An 18,573-nucleotide genomic window follows, 5' to 3' on the forward strand; every position below is an offset into this window, starting at 1 on the left:
TGTGGATTTGGTGTAGGGGGTGGTTGTGTTTCCTGGTTCATAGACAGCGGTGCCTTCTTGCTGTGTCCTCATGCGGACGGGATCCCTCCTGGAACCATCAGTGCCCTCATGAAAGAGCCCCCCAAGAGCTCCGTGGCGGAAGAAGCTGATCCCGCCTCCCAACACCACTGTCTTAGGGGTGAGAATTTTAACATAGGAATTTGGGGGGATCACAGACATTCATTGCTATGGGTGGGACCACTTGGTGCGTTGCCCTTGGGGTGGCGGTGTGGTCAGTGGTCCATTCCTGCCCAGCGCCGAGCAGCGGTCTGTGCGTGGGGTCTTTGCACCCGTGCACCTGCTGAAGGGTCTCTGGAGCTTTGGCTTTTTGGCTTTTACGAGTAAAGCTGCCGTGGTGCTTGGTGTGCGGTGAGGAGTGGACAGAAGGCTCTGTCCTGGCAGGTGCCCTGCAGTGGCCTGAGACCGGGAGATGAGGGCCGGCAAGGGGCTGTGGACGAGTCCAGAGTGAGGCGGCATCTCGGAGGGGCTCACACATTGTCTCAGGAGGAGTGGGCTGGCATTTCTTTCCAGTGGGCAGCTGTTGAAGATTTTGGAGCCAAAAGAGCGTTCCAGCTCAGATGTCTTTCAGGTGGAGTGTGGCTGCAGGTGGGGCAGGCTGGGTCAGGGTGGAGCCATGTGGGCTGAGGCCCGAGTTGGGGCTGTGGCTTTGGGGCCACATGGCTGCCGGTCGGGTGGGAGCGAGTCTCTGCTGACCAGGGCCCTGGATGTTGAGCCCCAGCCGCGGGGTGTGAGGTCTCAGGCAGGACCCAGGCATTCAGACATTGGGTCCACTGTGTGTGGACCCCTGCGTCCCAGCTCCAAGACGCTGTGTGACGGGAGGCGGCAGCAGCTGAGTTGGCGCGGGGAGACAGGGCGATTTGAAAAGCAGGCTGGGACCAAAGCATCTTGAAAACCCAAATGTAGTCACGTTGCCTGGCTTGAGTGCTGTCCAGAGCCTCGCCCTTGGCCTCTGTACGGCAGGGCTTAACAGTGGCCAGCACCTCAGGGCCACCAGAGGCCCGGGGCCACCTGGGCCTGGCTTGGCTTCCGGTGGCCCAGAACTCCTGCTGGGCTCCTGCCTCCCTCTGCAACCTCTCCTGGCTTTGGTGGGTTATGTGGGAGACACGAGTGGCTTCACCCAGCGGGAGTGGTGCACATGGGTTAACATGCCAGCCACCCAGCTGTGTACGGGCTGCATGTGTGTGTACATGTACATGCATGTGTGCGTGCACCATGCACGTGTGTGCTGATGTACATGCATGCATACATGTATGTGTGGGTGTGCACGTGTGCATTGTGTGCATATATGCACGTTAATGCATATGTATGTGTGCATGCCTGGGTGCATAGGTGTGAGCCACCTCCCTCCCCCATCAGTGTATCCATATTGCCTCTGCAGAGCTCCATGGGGGTCCTTGGCGAGCCAGGGCTGTGGTTGTCATTTTTGCCTTCCTTACAAAACGCAAAACAGGCCGGGCGCGGTGGCTCACGCCTGTAATCCCAGCGCTTTGGGAAGCTGAGGCAGGTAGATCACCTGAGGTGAGGAATTTGACACCAGCCTAACCAACATGGAGAAACACCATCTCTACTAAAAATACAAAATTAGCCAGGCGTGGTGGCGCATGCCTGTAGTCCTAGCTACTTGGGAGGCTGAGGCAGGAGAAACACTTGGGCCCGGGAGGCGGAGCTTGCAGTGAGCCAAGATTGCGCCACTGCACTCCAGCCTGGGCAACAGAGCAAGACTCCATCTGAAAAAACAAAACACAACCCCAAACAGTAGTACCGAGCCAGTTCTCATCTGGGCAGTGACCTGTGGCGTTTCAGACTCCTTCTCGGCCGTCTTGGTCTTCCCGGCATCCTCGCTGAGAGCTGAGGCTTGCTTTTCTGTTTCATAGTTGAGATGTTTATGGCCTGAGGGACCTTGTGTCTTGGGTGCAAAGTTACCAAGGGGCGGCGCCTTCTGACCCGAGTGCAGGGCCCTCCTCGCCTCCTGCCTGCAGCATGGGGCCTGTGCTGGGGTGCAGGCTTGCAGTGTGTGCTGGTCTCGTGTCAGGTGTGGCTTTCAGTGTGTGTGAGTGTTTGCTGTTTCCAGGTGAAACACCCTTCCAAACAAACACGGAGCAGCCATCTTTTGTAATAGCATTTTGTTAGACATAGAGTCTCATCTGGGGGCAGTCTTGACCCATGGGACACTGGCACTGTCTGGGGACATCTGTGGTGGTCACAATTCGGGGGGGTGCTCCTGAGATGGAGTGGGTGGGGGCCAGGGTTGCTGCTGAGCACCCCTCAGGGCCCAGGGTTCAGCACCGGTCAGTAGAGCTGAGGCCGAGGATCCCTGGCCTCAGATTGCATCCCCTCCATGCCACCGCCCTTCTCTTCAGGGCGCGGTGAGGGAAGGGCGTGTGGGGGTCCCTCTGGGGAGAAGGTGTTTTCACCTTCACACTCACCCTCACTCCTCCTGTCCTGGAACTTGGGTGGGTTTGACCTTTTGTGGATGAGGTGAGGGCTGAGAGGTGGATTACTACCTGAGACAATCAAAATCAATTTTCTTTCTTCTGAAAAGGACTCAGGGTGTTTGAGAAAAGTACTGGGGAGAGGCAGCTGCCACCGGGGCTCCCCACTCGGGATGTGTTGGGTGTTTTGCGAGACCCCCCACAGGGAGCTCAGGTGCTGTGGGCAGTTCCTGGGCTTTGTCGAGGGCCTCCCGAAGGCAGCACTGTGGCCACCGTGGGACACATGCAGCCTGTCTCATCTCTAGGAGCTGCCAGGTGAGGGGTCCTGCGACAGGCACCTGTGCAAAGATATCTACCATGGGCAGCAAGGAAGGTTCCAGAAAGTACCGGAGGGAGAGTTGTGTTGGGGCTTGGGGGCTTTCTAGAGCAGAGGCTGTGAGAGGAAGTGAGCTGGGTCCCAGCACCAGGCAGCCTTTAGGCAGCTGTGATTGGAACAGCACTGTGGGCAGAGGGCAACAGCGTAGGACGTGTGTGGAAGTGGGGAGGTGCCGGAAGATTCAGAGACACAGGGTGGTGAAGGCGAGCCTGGAGAAGTGGGCTGGGGGCATGCTGGGAGGGGGCGGTGACGCTTGAGTCTCTAGGGCACCGGGGGCCTGAGCAAGGTTAATACCTGAGTAGAGAGTTGAGGCAGTCTCTTTTTAGAAATTAGAAGTTAACTATTGCTGTGTAATGGGGTCACCCCAAAACTTCGCAACTTAAATTAACAAAACTTATTTCAGATAGTTTCTGAGGGTTGGGAATGTGGGAGCACTTTGTTGAGTGATCCTGGCTTGGGGTCTCTCAGAAGTTGTAGTCAGGATACCAGCCAAGCAGGGGCCACATCATTTGAAGGCTGGACTGGAGCTGGAGGAGCCACTCACAAGTTGGCTCCCTCTAGTGGCTGTTGGTGGGAGGCCTCAGTTCCTCACCACGTGGGCCTCTCCGTGAAGCTGCTTGAGGGTCCTCACAGCGTGGCGGCTGCCTACCCCAGAGCCCCTGACCCGAGACTGAGGGCAAGGAGGAAGGCCTGTGCCTTTTGTGAACTGGCCTTGGAGATGGCACACTGTCACTTCCATCACATTCTGTTTGCTAGAAGCAGGTCACTAAGTGTAGCCCATGCTCAAGGGGAGGGGAATTAGGTTCCAGTATGGAAGGGATGAGCATCAGAGATTTGTGGACACACTGGAAAACCCAGCATTGGCATCCCAGCGTGTGAGGGTGAAGAAAAGTGGGGAGACGGAGTCTCTGCCCAGGAGGTGACCAGGTGAGAGGCAGAGGCAGGAGAGGGGCTGGAGTGAGGACCCCCATGTCACCCAGAATGTGTGGGGGGCTCATCTGGAGGCTGGGGTGGAGCGACAGCTGGCCACATGGGCCCCCTTCCCGATAGTTTTTCCAGGCTGACTTGCTAATCCTTTTCATCCTCTGGGGCCCTGGGACCATCAGTGTGCCCATCTCTGAGATGGGGTGGTAGCGTACTCGTCTCTGGAAGCATTGTGGGTATTAGCAAGGTCGTGGCAGGCGTGGAGACGTAAAGGGGTTCAGGGATGTGCTCAGGGCCACCTGTGGCAGGCACAACGGTCCTGGCTGACCCCGCCACAGCACCAAGAGGGAGAGGGGAGAGCCTCGTGGGTGCTTGGTGCGCAGGGGGCAGTGTGGCCGTGGCCGCTGAGCAAAGCTCTGGGGAAGGGGGCGCCCAGCCCTTGGGGTGGTCTGTGCAGAGATGCCGTTGGGGTGAGTCCGTCTGTCAGGGCACCGCCGCCACGTCTGTGTGCTGTCCCTCTGGTGAGCATTGGTCATGAACTGGCGTGACCGTGGTGGAGCTGCACAGTCCCAGCTGCGGGGCCGGTGCCGTGCGACTTGATTTGGCCTGAGACCGTGTGGTCTTTGACGTAAATACCAACAATTGGCCCCCAGGAAAGTGTGTCCTTGCAGAACTTCTGGAAAAGGGGTGGTTCCAGTAAGACCCTGGCTTGGTGGAAGATGGGAAGGGCGCTTTGTAAACTCTTTCCGAGGAGTCAGGAGGCCGTGGCGTCTGGTGGAGAGACGGTCAGCCTCACGTGCCTTGGTTTCCTGTGCTGGGTGCTGCAGCACGGCAGGGTCTGGGTAAGAGGGGGCAGCAGCACGAGAGTCAGGCCCCGGCTGCCGCCCGCCCTCACGTGCCCCGTCCCCCAGGCACGGGCGAGAGCGGGAAGAGCACGTTCATCAAGCAGATGCGCATCATCCACGGCGCCGGCTACTCGGAGGAGGACAAGCGCGGCTTCACCAAGCTCGTCTACCAGAACATCTTCACCGCCATGCAGGCCATGATCCGGGCCATGGAGACGCTCAAGATCCTCTACAAGTACGAGCAGAACAAGGTGAGCCCGCGGGCGCCTGGGGAGGGGAGCGCCTGGGCAGCTGTGGGCTTGGTGGTGAGCATGGTGGCCGCGCTGCCAGGGTGGGGCCATGCCGGGGGTCCCGGCCGGCCCAGGCTACCCCTGGTCATCCATCCGTTCCTGTCATGGACATGGAAACAGCAACCGCTGACTTCCTGGGGGCCAACTGGAGAGTTGTGATGGGCATTGCGTGGCCAAGCCCCACAGCCTCCCTCCCAAGTAGCTGTGGGCGCCCACATCCTGTGGGTGGGGAAGCTGAGGCCCTGGGGAAGCTGAGGCCCTGTGAGGTGAGCCACTCGCCCAGGTCGCCTTGGGAGTAAGCAGCGTGAGCTCCTGGTTCCGGCCCCTTCCCCAGGCTGAGCAGCCTACCAGGCACCTCGTTTCGGCCCTGACACTCACCCATGGGGCTGTACTTCTCACCTTCTCACACTGTTTTTTTGTTTTGTTTTGTTTTGTTTTGTTTTGAAAACAGGGTCTCGCTCTGTCGCCCAGGCTGGAGTGCAGTGGAATGGTCAAGGCTCATCACAGCCTGGACCTTCTGGGCTCAGGTGATCCCACCACAGCCTCCCGGGTAGCTGGGACTGCAGGTGCATCACCACGCCTAGCTAATTTTTGTATTTTTTGTAGAGATGGAATTTCACCATGTTGCCCAGGCTGGTCTTGAACTCCTGGGCTCAAGCAGTCCTCCCGCTTTGGCCTCCCAAAGTGCTGGGATTACAGGTATGAGCCACCATGCCTGGCCTCCGCCCTGGTTTTTTTTCTTTTTTTTTTGATAAAGTAGAGGTCATTTGATGCCCTGTTTTTAAATCACAGCTTTATTGAGTTATAATTCACATTCTATGCACTTCACTTGCTTAAAGTGTATAATTTGGTGGTTTTCGATATGTTTGCATAGTCGTGCAGCCATCACCGCTGTCGGATTCCAGATTTCATTTTCTCAAAGGAAGCCCCTTCCCCATCGGCCGTCACTCCCACCCCCTCCTCCAGCCCCGGCACCCACACATCCCCTTCCTGCCTCTGTGGATCGGTCTGTCCTGAACATTTCATAGAAATGGGATTGCACGCCATGTGGCCTTTTGTGTCCGGCGTCTCTCACTGAGTGTGACGTCCTCAAGGTGCATCCACACAGTGGCCTGTGTCAGAGCCTCGTCCCTGTTCATGGCTGAGTCATGTTCCAGTGCATGGAGGGACCGCGTATTTGCCCATTTATCCCCTGGAGGACATTTGAGTGCCTTCATGTGTGGGCTGTTGGGAACGGAGCTGCCGTGACCGTCTGTGGACGTGTGTTTATGTGGATGATGTGTTCCCTTCCCTCAGTTGCATGCTACGCCTGGGAGCAGAATTGCTGGGTCCCAGGGTGACTCTGGCTTTGCCCTCTGAGAAGCGTCCAGAGAGTTTGCCCCAGTGGCCGCCCTATGGGGCAGGCCCAGCAGCCGTGCAGCCGTGGCTCCTGCCAGTGGCCTCCCTGGGGCCTTTCAGCTGAGGGGCCATTGATCCCGCTTTCGTAGCCCTGCTTTCAGGGGTAGGGCTCTTGCCCTTAGATCTTGGTTTGCCACTTGCCCTGTCTCCCGCTGTGATCTCTTCCAGCTGTGGCCCTCTCTGAGAGTCCATATTCATATTTGGGCTTAGATCTCCATCAGCTTCTGAAACACGCATCTGCAAACTGCAGACTGATTTTGTCGATAAAGTTTTATTGGCACATACCCATTTCTGCCATGTTGCCCATGGTGCTTCAGCAGCAGCAGCAGAGCCGAGTGCTGGAGACAGTCCGTGTGGTCGGGAAGGCTGGGTGTGCTCTCTGGCTCTCTGCAGAAGCAGATTGCTGCTGTCTAATCTGGAAGTTTCCAGGGAGTGGGATTTTTGGGGTTTGTGTCTCTTTTTCCAAGTCCCCCTAGGTGTGCTTATCCCAGCCCAGATTGAGAGGCTGGGGGCAGGGCAAGGGGAGGGCTGAAGTCGGAGTCCGGGGCAGGGAGCGTTGCTCAGAGGGGACAAGCAAGGGCTGAGTCTCCACTCTGGGGGGCCTGGGAGGGCCCCGTGGCTCCCAGAGCCCAGGGCAAGGCTCCCTTCTTTCCCATCTGGGTCCCACCCAGTATGTCCCCTCCCCAGTCCCTCAGCCAAACTGTGGCTGGTCATGTCGGCCTGTGCGCCCCGGGGACGGGGACACAGAGCATCAGGAGGGGAAAGGATGGCCCCCCCACAGTGTCTGCCCCAAAGGGTGTTCACATGTGTGTGCAAGCACGTGTCTGTGCGGTTGGCCTTCCTTTGTGACAGGGCAGCAAGCTGGGGCCTGATGCCACCCGCCGCCCAGGGTTCCGTGAGGGGGAGGCGGCTCGTGTTGGGGCACCATGTAAACTGTTGAGTGCGGCAGCTCGGGGGCCACACGCCGTCCTTAGCACCGGGTGTGGTATCTGCTCTTGATGATGTTTGATAAGCATTTTTCGGACGAAAGAGAGAAGCCGGCGGGGCAGAAACCGAGTCTGGAGCTGCACACTGCAGGCGATGCCGCTGGTTGCAACGTCCTGTGACTGGGCTTCCTGCCTCCCGGTGTGTCTGGAGAATTCGAGGCAGCGAGTGCTGGGGCTGTTGGTTAGTTCTGTCGTCGTGCTTGGTCGTGCTCGGCGCTGCACTGCCCTCCTGTGGGTCCTGGGTTTGAAGTGTGTGTGTTCTACACGTGCTTGTTCCCCACACCGTCCCCTCCCCACCTCTAAGAAGTGAATCGAAGCCCGGCCTCCCCGGCACCCTGCAGACCGCACCGCCGGGAGGCTTTGCTTGTGGGGCCTTGTTCGGAGGAACCACACCGCCAGGCGGCCTCGCGTTTTTCTGACACGTGTTCACACGGAACTGTCAGTGGTCCTGACTGCACAGCCTGCGGAATGCCGCCCGGGCCAGCCGAGGCCTGGAAGAGGGGCCGTCACAAGCTTTCTGGTGGATGTGTGGCCCCAGCGAGCTCTCGACGTCTCCCCTGCCCGCCCTCGCAGGCCAATGCGCTCCTGATCCGGGAGGTGGACGTGGAGAAGGTGACCACCTTCGAGCATCAGTACGTCAGTGCCATCAAGACCCTGTGGGAGGACCCGGGCATCCAGGAATGCTACGACCGCAGGCGCGAGTACCAGCTCTCCGACTCTGCCAAGTAGTAAGTGCGGCCGCACCGCTGGCGGCCTGGGGACGGCAGCTGCGGGCCGGTGCCTGGGACCCTTCGGGAAGGCCTCCGCGGCGTCTGTGGTGCCCCCTGCCTGCTCGCCGGGGGCAGGGATGCGGTGGGCCCGGGCCACCTGGCCGGATGGAGGGACCAGAGCAGATCCCTGGAGGGGCCACGCCTTGGCAGGAGCCGGTGGACTCTGGTGTGACACTGGCCTGCTTGTATGCCTGGCCCTGCCGCTGCCCTCCCTGGGTCAGGAGTGAGCTCCTGGCCACCCTCGGTGCTGGAGCCCGGCCTGTGGCCTGTGGGGGAAACCCAGGGTCTCCTAGGAGGGCCGTGGGATGGGAGGTAGACACAACCTGGGCCGTCTCGCTCCTGCCTGGGACATCGTCCCCAGAGCCACGTCTCCCACTAGTGACTGGCTGTGACCTTGACTGATGTCAGGGTTCTCCCAGTCTCTGGGCCTGGGATAGGGGGTGACTTGTGTGCTGACAGGTGGCCGGGCCATGGCCGCAGGTGGAGGCCCCCGCGTGGCAGGCTGTGCACTGCTGCCCTCCATGCTTGGCAGGCAGAGGCCCCGGCCCTCCCCCAGCACCGGGAGAGACCCTAAGGCGACAGGGACAGGCCTGTCCCCCGCCCCTCCTGCCCGTCCTCTGTGTGTTCCCTGCCTCTGGGAGGTTGTGGGAGGGCCCAGATAACCAAGCACTTGGAACAAAACGCCAGGGCCTCCTCGCGGTGCCGGAAAGGTCTGAGCAGGCACCCGGCCTCTTACAACCCCCACCCCAGGCAGACCACTCGAGGGGCGCCCCACTCAGGACTGCCCAGGGCGTCAAAAACGGGAAACTGTCCCAACCCAGAGGGCTGGGCAGGAAAAGGCATGAGGGGAACCAAGGAAGCCGGAATCAAGCGTGGACTTCAGTAGCTGCGCTGTGTAGACACTGGCTCATTGCTCGTGGTGGGTGCCGCACCCACGTACAGGGAGCAGCAGGGAGACGGGCACGGGGATCTGCTGGGACCTCTGCAGCCTCTGCAGCTGCGACTCTCCTAATGATGCGCTTGTTTGTGAAGCCTCATCCCTGGGGCCAGCCAGGCCTCTCTCGGGAAGTCCCCTGCCCTGGGTCACCGTCTCCCTCCTTGGTGGCCGTCTCTGGACAGCTCTACTACAAACCCCCCGAACCAGCTGGAGTCCTCGTCCTGGGACTTTCTCTTGTGCTGGGTCATTTCTGTCCCCTGAGACCCCAGAGAGGATAGAGGTTGGGAGGCTCGTATCCCGACCCCAGGGTCTCCATTGGCCCGAGCCCTCCGGGCTGCTTCAGACACTGCCGTAGGTGGCGCAGTGCGCGGTCCACCCCCTCCTGGTGGCTTTCCGTCCTCCCGCTGGTTTGGGTGCTGTGTCCCTGTCCTGCCCCCCCACCCCCGGCAGCCGGCCTGAGCACCCACCGCTGTGTTGCAGCTACCTGACCGACGTTGACCGCATCGCCACCTTGGGCTACCTGCCCACCCAGCAGGACGTGCTGCGGGTCCGCGTGCCCACCACCGGCATCATCGAGTACCCTTTCGACCTGGAGAACATCATCTTCCGGTACCGCCCGGGCCACAGCAGGCGGGGAGGGGGCACTGAGAGGCTCATTTGCCCGGTGTGCCGGCTCATGCCTGCGCACCCAGTGCTTTGGGAGGCCAAGGCGGGAGGATCGCCTGAGTCCAGGAGTTTGAGACCACCCTGGGCAACATAGCCAGACCTCATATCTAAAAAAAATTTTAAAAATTAGCTGGGCGTGGTTGTGTGCACCTGTGGTCCCAGCTACTCAGGAGGCTGAGGCAGGAGGATCGCTCAAGCCCAGGAGGTTGAGGCTGAAGTGAGCCATGATGGCACCACTGGACTCCAGCCTGGGCGACAGAGGGAGACCCTGTTTCGTCTTATTAAACAAAAGAAAGCCCATTGGTCTTCATCCTCAGTGTGTGTTTGACCAGGTCAGGGGATAAGATTTATCTCTAAGTATGTGTGAGCCAGGGCCACACAGGGAAGGAGCTGTGGGGGTGTGGGGGGCGTGGCCACATCCATCCAGACCGGCAGCCGAAGAGACCTGGCAGGGAGGACATTTGACAGGGCCTCCAGGACGGGCCGGGGGCCTGGTTGGAGCCAGCATGGGGCTGGGGTCTGGAGTGCTGGCCGGAGCAGGGGGTGCCGCATGGTGCGGGAGGGGTCATAGGGACTGAGGCTGCCAGGGGAGGGGGCTCATGGGGACCGAGGCTGTGAGGGGAGGAGGGGTCATAGGGACCGAGGCTGTGAGGGGAGGGGGGGGGTCACGGGGACCGAGGCTGTGAGTGGAGGAGGGGTCATAGGGACTGAGTGGGGAGGAGGGGTCATAGGGACTGAGGCTGTGAGGGGAGGAGGGGTCATAGGGGCCGAGGCTGTCAGGGAAGAGGGGTCATGGGGACCGAGGCTGTGAGGGGAGGAGGGGTCGTGGGGACCGAGGCTTTGAGGGGAGGAGGGGTCATAGGGACTGAGTGGGGAGGAGGGCTCCAGGCTGGGGTGGAGGAGCTGGGTGGTGTGGGGTGGATTCTGTTCTTCACGGGCTGCCCCTGCGGATCCTGCTGGGCCTCCGGGGCTCCAGGTCCACTGTGGCTGGGGGCCGGCCAGCAGAGCCGGGTTCTCCCTGGGGACCCTCAGTGGGTCCTGTGTCTGGTAGGCTGCTCAGCTGGCTGGACTCTGCTGTCCCTGGGAACGTGGACCCTGCCTGCCTGTCTCCTGGCCCCATATAACATCTCCAGCGCTGAGGTCCCGGCTTTATGCGTGCCTGTCCTGGGCTGCTGGTGTCGGGCGTGAGACTCCCACCGCAGGCCTTATTCCCGCCCAGTGCTGGAGGCCAGAAGGCTGAGATGCAGGTGTGGGCCGGGCCAGGTCCTTCTGAGGCTGAGGGGATCTGCCCAGGCCTCACTCGGCTCCTAGTGGCGGCCGCATCCTTGGCATCCTTGGCATCCTTGGCATCCTTGGCTTGTGGCCGGGTTGCCTCATCCCTGCCCCCATCCTCATGCAGCGTCCTCCCCGCCTGCGCCTTTGCCTCTGTTCTCTTATAACCTGTCCTTGGCCAGGGCCACCCTACCTCTGTGTGACGTTATCCTAACCAGTGACATCCGCACAGACCCTGTTTCCAGATCAGAGCCGTCCCCGGGTTCTGGTGTTCGTGCGTGTGGGGCGCTAGACGGCTCTGTCCTGGAGGGCCTCGCGGTGGCTCCGGTTGCGGGTGCCTTCTCCTGCAGTGCAAGCTCGCCCTGGCACTGGCCCTCATGAGGGAATGACGCCTCCCTGCCAGGGTGTCCCCACCCAGCTGGTGCACTGCCGAGGCCATTGTGAGGGTTCCGGGAAGTCTGTGGGGTTTTCCTCGAGAGCCCTGCCTTGAGACCCACCCCAGGGCTGGGGGTGCCACCCCCTGCCATCTGCCTGTTCTCCCCACCCGTCCTCCCAGCTCGGCCTCCCAGCGCAGGCAGGGAGGATGCGGCGTGAAGATGGAGGCAGGGATGGAGCAATGTGGCCACAAGCCAAGGAATGCCAAGCTCTGGGATGGTTCCCGGGGACCCGAGCAGGCGCTGGGCCCTCAGAAGCTGCGGTGTCCTCTCTGGACATGGGCGATGGTGTATATTGTTACGAGAATTCAAGTTTTTCTTCTTTTTTATTCACACGGGGCCCATGACCCCAGGATACAGCTGAGGCGAGCCAGGCATAGGCCAGGTTGTGGCATGAATGTCCCCTCACAGCCCCACGCTGGCCTCTTAACAGCGCAGGCCTCTGTGTCCTCTGTCAGAAATGTCCTGTCCCCTCCCTGAGCTGAGCTCAGGCTGGGTGTGTCACCCCCTCTCCACCATCTTCCAGGCCCTTCCCAGCTCCAGCTGTGCCCTTTTCTTTTTTTTGAGACGGAGTCTTGCTCTGTCGCCCAGGCTGGAGTGCAGCTGTGCAATCTGGGCTCACTGCAAGCTCCGCCTCCCGGGTTCACGCCATTCTCCTGCCTCAGCCTCCCGAGTAGCTGGGACTATAGACGCCCGCCACCACGCCTGGCTAATTTTTTGTACTTTTTAGTAGAGATGTGGTTTCACCATGTTAGCCAGGATGGTCTCGACCTCCTGACCTCGTGATCCGCCTGCCTCGGCCTCCCAAAGTGCTGGGATTACAGGCGTGAGCCACCGCGCCCGGCCCGGCTGTGCCCTCTGTGCCGGGTGCAGACCCCCGTCCTGAGCCTACTCCTCTGCCACCATTGTTTCTCTGCCAGCCGCCTCTGTCCACCACACGCTGGCAGAGGGCCGGCCAGGTGCTGTGGGATGCAGCTGGAGGCCTTGAAGGCCGGTGGGATCGTCCCAGTGCGTGAGGAGAGGCTCCTGCTCCCTCAGGTGGGGACAAGACACGGGGGGACCCGGATCCCAGCCCTGCCGGCCGCCGCAGGCGTGCAGGAGAGGCCTCGCGCTCCAGACGGGCTGTGGCCTGGTGTCGGCACACCCACTGTCCTCCCGCCTGGCCACAGCTGCTGGTGCGGGCCCTCTTGTCCCTTAGAGTCACCTGGCACATCTGTCATCCACCGGTGCCTGCTGGACTCCCCCGCAGACCAGACCAGGTGGATTTCACCACTCACATGCCCAAAGCAGCCCCGCTCTCCTCGGCAGAGTTGCAGGGACCCCGGCCTTCCCTGGGGCCTGGGGCCAGGGCCTGAGGGGCACTCTCCGCTTCTGCCTTTGTATTCTTTCAAGGAGACCAAAGTGCCTTTTCTCGTTATAGAAAACTTAGAAAAGTCACAAGTAGAAAGAGGCAAACGTCCCGTAAGGAACGCACGCCCGCAGACATCGTCTGAGCTGATTTTCTTTCTCCCGCCTGTGCGTGGCCTGAGAGTGTGAGGTTGAGCTGCTCACCACGCGGGGCAGGGCGCTGCGCCTGCTCTTCTGCCCCAGGAGGATACCGGCAACTCTGCCCTCTGCAGCCGTCACTGGAGGGTCCCTGCAGGGAGCAACTGTGGCATCAGTGTTTACTCCTGCGAGTGACGCTTGGTGAACATCTGTGTCCCTGGCCCAGTGAGGGGAAAGGCTTCTGTGCTCAGGGTGACATCCAGATGCCAGATGTAGGGTCCCTGGGCACCCATCGCAGGTTCCCGCAGCAGCTGGCGCCCAGAATCCTCTGGGTTCTCACACCCCCACACTAGCGCCCGCTTCCCTGGGCCCAGTGGTCTCAGGCCCCTTTGCCAGTGAGGGAAGGGTCTGCGGTGGTCACCCCTGGAGGCGGTGCGGCCGCTCTCTGAGAGCGTCCTTGCCCGTTCTAAGAGTGGGGGCTCTTCCTGCTCCAGCCGATGTCAGTCTGGTGTGGCAGGAGGGGCTTGGGTGGGAGCCGTCCTGGGATTGCAGATTGGGCCTTGGGGCGCCAGGTGGCTGAGTCCTGGCGCTGTGTCCTTTCAGGATGGTGGATGTGGGGGGCCAGCGGTCGGAGCGGAGGAAGTGGATCCACTGCTTTGAGAACGTGACATCCATCATGTTTCTCGTCGCCCTCAGCGAATACGACCAAGTCCTGGTGGAGTCGGACAACGAGGTGGGCCCTGCCCTGAGCAGGGGCAGCGTTGGGGGCCGGGCCTTCCCCACCTGCCAAGCCTGGGTCCCCTCACCTGGGTCCCCCCAGCTGCCCCTTGGGCTGTGTGCAGTGGGGAGGGCCCCTCTGATTCCCTCTGCCTTCGCTCCCGCCAGAACCGGATGGAGGAGAGCAAAGCCCTGTTCCGGACCATCATCACCTACCCCTGGTTCCAGAACTCCTCCGTCATCCTCTTCCTCAACAAGAAGGACCTGCTGGAGGACAAGATCCTGTACTCGCACCTGGTGGACTACTTCCCCGAGTTCGATGGTGCGCCGGGCTGCGGCATGGGGAGGGGCTCGCGGGCAGGGCCTTACTGGGGGGAGGGGGCTGATATGGGAGAGGGGCTCATACAGGCCGGGAGCTCTAAGGGAGGGCGTCTGATGGGAGGTGTCATGTATGGGAGTGGAGTCTCAGGGAAGGGAGATCTCGTATGAGGGGGGCCTGTACGGGAATGAGTTCTCCGACGCGGGTGTCTCATACCCGTGGGAGATCTGTTAATGCAGGGACTCCTTATACAGGAGGGGTCTCGGGTGGGAGGGGTCTCGGGCAGGGGGATCTCGGGTGGGAGGAGTCTTGTACAAGGAGGGCACCATGGGAGGGGGAGTCTTGTATTGGTGGGTCTTGTACGGGAGGGAGTTGTCGTATGGGGGTGTCCTGTATAGGTGATCCCATATGGGAGGGGTCTCACAGGAAGGGTTCACGCACACTGCCAGCGCAGCCCCGTGGGGACCTTGGTGGTAGTCCCTGCATCCTCCTCTGTGCCCTACTGCCCCCACCCTCGGACCCGTCCCTCCCTACGTGGCCCCTGCCCCACGGGGTGTGTCAGGGCAGCTGAGCACTGAGGGTCTTCACATGCCCAGCCCTCTCTGGGCCTGGGGATGGCGGCCAGGGGAGGGTGTTGTGTGCCCTCGTCTGTGTGGTCAGTGGCTGCCGTTAGTGCTGTCACCACTCAGAGCTGTCCCTGCCAGGCACAGTGAGGCCCTGGGCAGCTCTGGCGCCCTCATTTCCACCCCGGATCTGTGCTCCTCCCGTGAGTCTCGGGTGTCATCTTCGGGAGGGCCCCTCAGGGTGCCCTGCCTCTGGATGTGCAGCGAGAGGGAGGGGTCTGGCACACGGTATAGCCTCGGCCGCTGGCTGCAGGCGCAGGGCCCTGCTGTCCCTGGGCAGGGGAGTGGCGGGGGGCGCTGCACCTGCTCCAGCCGCACGTGGCCCCTGCCCAGCAGCCTGTCCTGTGGGCTCAGAGAGCCCTGGTGGGGGGAGGCCAAGGGACTGGGGCATAGACCCCTGTCCCACCAGTCCCCAGAGCAGCCCCTTGAACACCCCCAGGGGCCTTTCCACCGGGGCAGGCAGGAGTTACTGGGCGGGTCGCCTGCATTGTCCAGGGTGGTGGAGGGGCAGGGGTGGCCGGTGGGAAGCAGCGCCCCTGCTGGAGCCCCTGGATGTCTCTGAGGCCTGGCTGCAGCAGGGGCACCGTGGGTGGGTGGGGGCCACTGTTCCTGCTCTGTAGGCTCTGTGCCCAGCCCTGGGGGCCTCTCCTCTCACCCTGGGCCTTCGCAGGGCAGCCATGCCAGAGGCCTGCCCTGGAAGGCTGTGGCTGTGGAGCTGAGTGGATAGAGGCCGGCAGAGGGCTGAGCAGAGGGAGCAGCGGTGGGTGCAGAGCCCCAGGTTGGAGGCCTGGGCCGTGACAGTAGTGCCCTGGGGCTACAGTGGGATTGGCACCGCAGCTCACCTGGGGAGGGAGGGGAGCTGCGGCCCGTCAGGCATGCAGTGGGCTGGGGGTCGAGCTGGGTGGGCCGTGGGCCTTACTCGCTCATCCCCTGGGAGTGACAAAGGGGCCCACGAGTCCCTTGCCCTGGGCCGGGCTGGGGCACAGCCTCACCCTCTGCCCTCCCCCAGGTCCCCAGCGGGACGCCCAGGCGGCGCGGGAGTTCATCCTGAAGATGTTCGTGGACCTGAACCCCGACAGCGACAAGATCATCTACTCACACTTCACGTGTGCCACCGACACGGAGAACATCCGCTTCGTGTTCGCGGCCGTGAAGGACACCATCCTGCAGCTCAACCTCAAGGAGTACAACCTGGTCTGAGCGCCCAGGCCCAGGGAGACGGGATGGAGACACGGGGCAGGACCTTCCTTCCACGGAGCCTGCGGCTGCCGGGCGGGTGGCGCTGCCGAGTCCGGGCCGGGGCCTCTGCCCGCGGGAGGAGATTTTTTTTTTTCATATTTTTAACAAATGGTTTTTATTTCACAGTTATCAGGGGATGTACATCTCTCCCTCCGTACACTTCGCGCACCTTCTCACCTTTTGTCAACGGCAAAGGCAGCCTTTTTCTGGCCTTGACTTATGGCTCGCTTTTTTCTAAAAAAAAAAAAAAAAGAAAGAAAGAAAAAAAGCAACGAAACATAAAACACACAAGCGCCCCGTGCCCCCAGTGACTCTGGGCCTCACAGAGCCCCCGCCAGCCAGCATGGGGCCCCGCCCTGCAGCCAGTCACGCGCCCCCACACCGCAGCCCCCCGTGGCTGTCCTTCCAACCCCACGTGCTTTTTCTTTCTCCTGCCCGCTTCTTTTCTTCATCACAAAAGGCGTGGAGACTCGGAGACGGACGTTTTTCCCCTTTTTTAAGTTATTGACGCCCAGCGCGCCTCGCCTCTTCACCCATCAACGCTGTGCTTTGCCCACTGGACTCCTGAAGAGGGGGTGGGGGGCTCCCTCGGTCGCCCACCCTGGGAAGTGCCTAACCTTTTATTTTATTTTATTTTTTTGAGGAAAAAGAACGCCTGACTCACAGGTTGAAGAAACACCCTGGGCCCTCTCTCATGGCCGGGTTCCCCGTCCCTCTGCAGAGGCTGGGAAGGGTCCCCGGGCTGGAGCCACGGGGGCTTCTCTGGGCTGTGCCTCCGGGGCCAACACTGGCTGCTTGGGGCTGCCCGGGGACTCCAGAGGGCTGCACGGCCACCCTGCCCTGGCTAGAGCGCACCCCACCGGAGCCCACGTGGGCTGGGCGGCTGGAGGGATGGTCCCCCGGTGACACTGGGAGAAAGGCCACTTGGATGGGGGCGTTTCTGTTTTGTTCCGCTTTGTGATGTCACCAATTTGGAAACAGCGAGGGTGGGTGGGGACTTTTACAGAATATTCTCAGGTGTGTACCCGAGAGGCAGAGAGAGGGACGTGGCCGGCAGCTCTGTGCGTGGCCTTGTCCCAAGCACTTGCGCCCGCCCCCGAGCGCCGCCCCCGGGGAGCGGGAAGCCAGCACTCGCACTTTGGCCAGGGGCGCGTGGAAGGTGGTGGCAGGCACCGGCCTGGGCAGCTTCCAGGCCTGGCTGGCCACGACCACGGCCCGAGGGGGAGCCCGCCAGGCCACGCCGCACTGAGCCACAGCCCCGGGGGCCGCCTCCCGGGGCCCCTTGAGGCACTGAGGCACCGAGACTGGTTCTCCCCGAGAGACTCGGAAGGTGGGGAACGAGGGGACTGTGTTTGGGGAGGTGGCTTTTTCGTCTGCTGTTGACTGAACACTACAGCGCCCTGTGGTTCCGGGCTTCGCACAGCTGTCCCAGGGATGGATCGCCTGTGCTGCCTTCGCCCGCCGCCACACCGGGACCCTGCACGGCTGCTTCTGGCCTCGACAGATGACAAAAGAAACAGCCCCAAAATACGACCACTCCAACCAGCAGTTCCCGCCTGCCTGCCCGCCACTGTCAGGCCTGCCCTGGCCTCCTCGTCCGCAGGGCTGTCTGCTGGCTTCTGGGGGCAGAAGAGCGGGGAGCCCCGTGGAAGGGTCAGGGGAGACCAGGTCAGGGCAGCTACATTTCTGGTGATCAGCCCCATGGGGAGACGGGGCTGGCGGGATACCCCCCCCCCGGCTTCCCCACACCACTTCTGTCTCACCCGGAAGCGTCCTTTTTTTGTGCCAGGTGTCTACCTAAGAGGGTTGGTGCCAGAAGCCCCCCATGGCGAGTGCTGGGGCCCGGCGGTGCCCTGGGGGAGCAGATGGGGCCACCCCTGGCAGGGCCGCTACAACCTTTTCCAGCAGCGGAGCCCTCTGGGGGGCCTGTGCTTGTGGCATCTCTGAGGGCCTAGATTGCACAAGGTGACCTGGCCGTGGCCTGAGGGTGGAGTCGCCCAGCACGCAGGCCGGGGCGCTGCGGGGCTAAGTATTAGGCCTTCCCAGGGAGGGGGCGTGCCAAGCATCCCAGAGCCGGGCTGGGACCGCCAAAACGTCGTGGCCTGGATCCTCTGGGTCTGAGTGCCTGATCCCCTGCCCCCCAAAAAAGCAGAGGTAGGTGTTGCAGGCCCAGGGCAGGGGTGCCTGCCCCAGGAGAGTCCCAGGCAGTGGTTCTCGTGCCAGTGGCACCCAGGGGCAAGGACAGCCAACCCCCACCCTTGCCACGTGTGGGGCCACGTGGGCATGTGGGGTGTGTGTTTTTACCTTGGTGAATCTCACCTGCCAACGATTTCTCGTGAGTGCCGACCACCTTCTCCGACCATGTTACGCCCGGGCGGCAGCAGCCCCCGGCCACTGCAAACCCATGCCCTGGGTCCCCCGGCTCCCCCAGGGAGGCATCCCCGTGCCAATGTCCCCCAGTGGTGGCAGCAGATCCTGTGGCCGGCCTGGCGGACGGGACCCAGTGATACTTGTATATTACACAGTCCTGATTTCAGACAATTTCAACCTTAATCTATTTAAAAAAGAATATTCTATACAAGCTGTTTTTAAGCCTTTTACCATTTGAAATGCATGTGTTGTGCGCGTTGGGGATGGGAGGAGGGGCTGAGGAGCGGCTCAGTGTCACCTCCCACAGCCACCGGCCCTGACCCTTAATCCAGACACCGATGGAAGTCGACTTTTCATATCTTTCTCCTGAAATGAACTCTGTTTTAAATTGGAATAAATTTTGTTCCTAAATGCTGGCGGCCCCCTTCTG

At 61.6% G+C, this 18,573-nt stretch overlaps 1 protein-coding gene across 1 annotated transcript in view, besides 1 other annotated feature; it reads left to right on the plus strand.

Annotated features, from left to right (window-relative positions):
- Positions 1-18,554, plus strand: part of GNA11 (G protein subunit alpha 11) — a 29,638-nt gene extending 11,084 nt beyond the window's left edge. Inside the window, exons 2-7 of the mRNA NM_002067.5 lie at positions 4,704-4,888; positions 7,885-8,039; positions 9,499-9,627; positions 13,479-13,608; positions 13,761-13,914; positions 15,544-18,554. Of these exons, the coding sequence (NP_002058.2) occupies positions 4,704-4,888; positions 7,885-8,039; positions 9,499-9,627; positions 13,479-13,608; positions 13,761-13,914; positions 15,544-15,734 (944 nt within the window). The 3' untranslated portion in view covers positions 15,735-18,554. The remainder of the gene's footprint in view (positions 1-4,703; positions 4,889-7,884; positions 8,040-9,498; positions 9,628-13,478; positions 13,609-13,760; positions 13,915-15,543) is intronic.
- Positions 2,430-2,931: an enhancer, noted in NCBI's record as "H3K4me1 hESC enhancer chr19:3107873-3108374 (GRCh37/hg19 assembly coordinates)". NCBI's record gives its function as "activates a minimal SCP1, AML or CMV promoter by ChIP-STARR-seq in naive H9 embryonic stem cells {active_cell/tissue: H9 hESC(naive)}" and the evidence as "EXISTENCE:reporter gene assay evidence [ECO:0000049][PMID:30033119]".

This window comes from Homo sapiens, chromosome 19, assembly GCF_000001405.40.
Source record: "Homo sapiens chromosome 19, GRCh38.p14 Primary Assembly".
Classification (NCBI taxonomy): domain Eukaryota; kingdom Metazoa; phylum Chordata; class Mammalia; order Primates; family Hominidae; genus Homo; species Homo sapiens.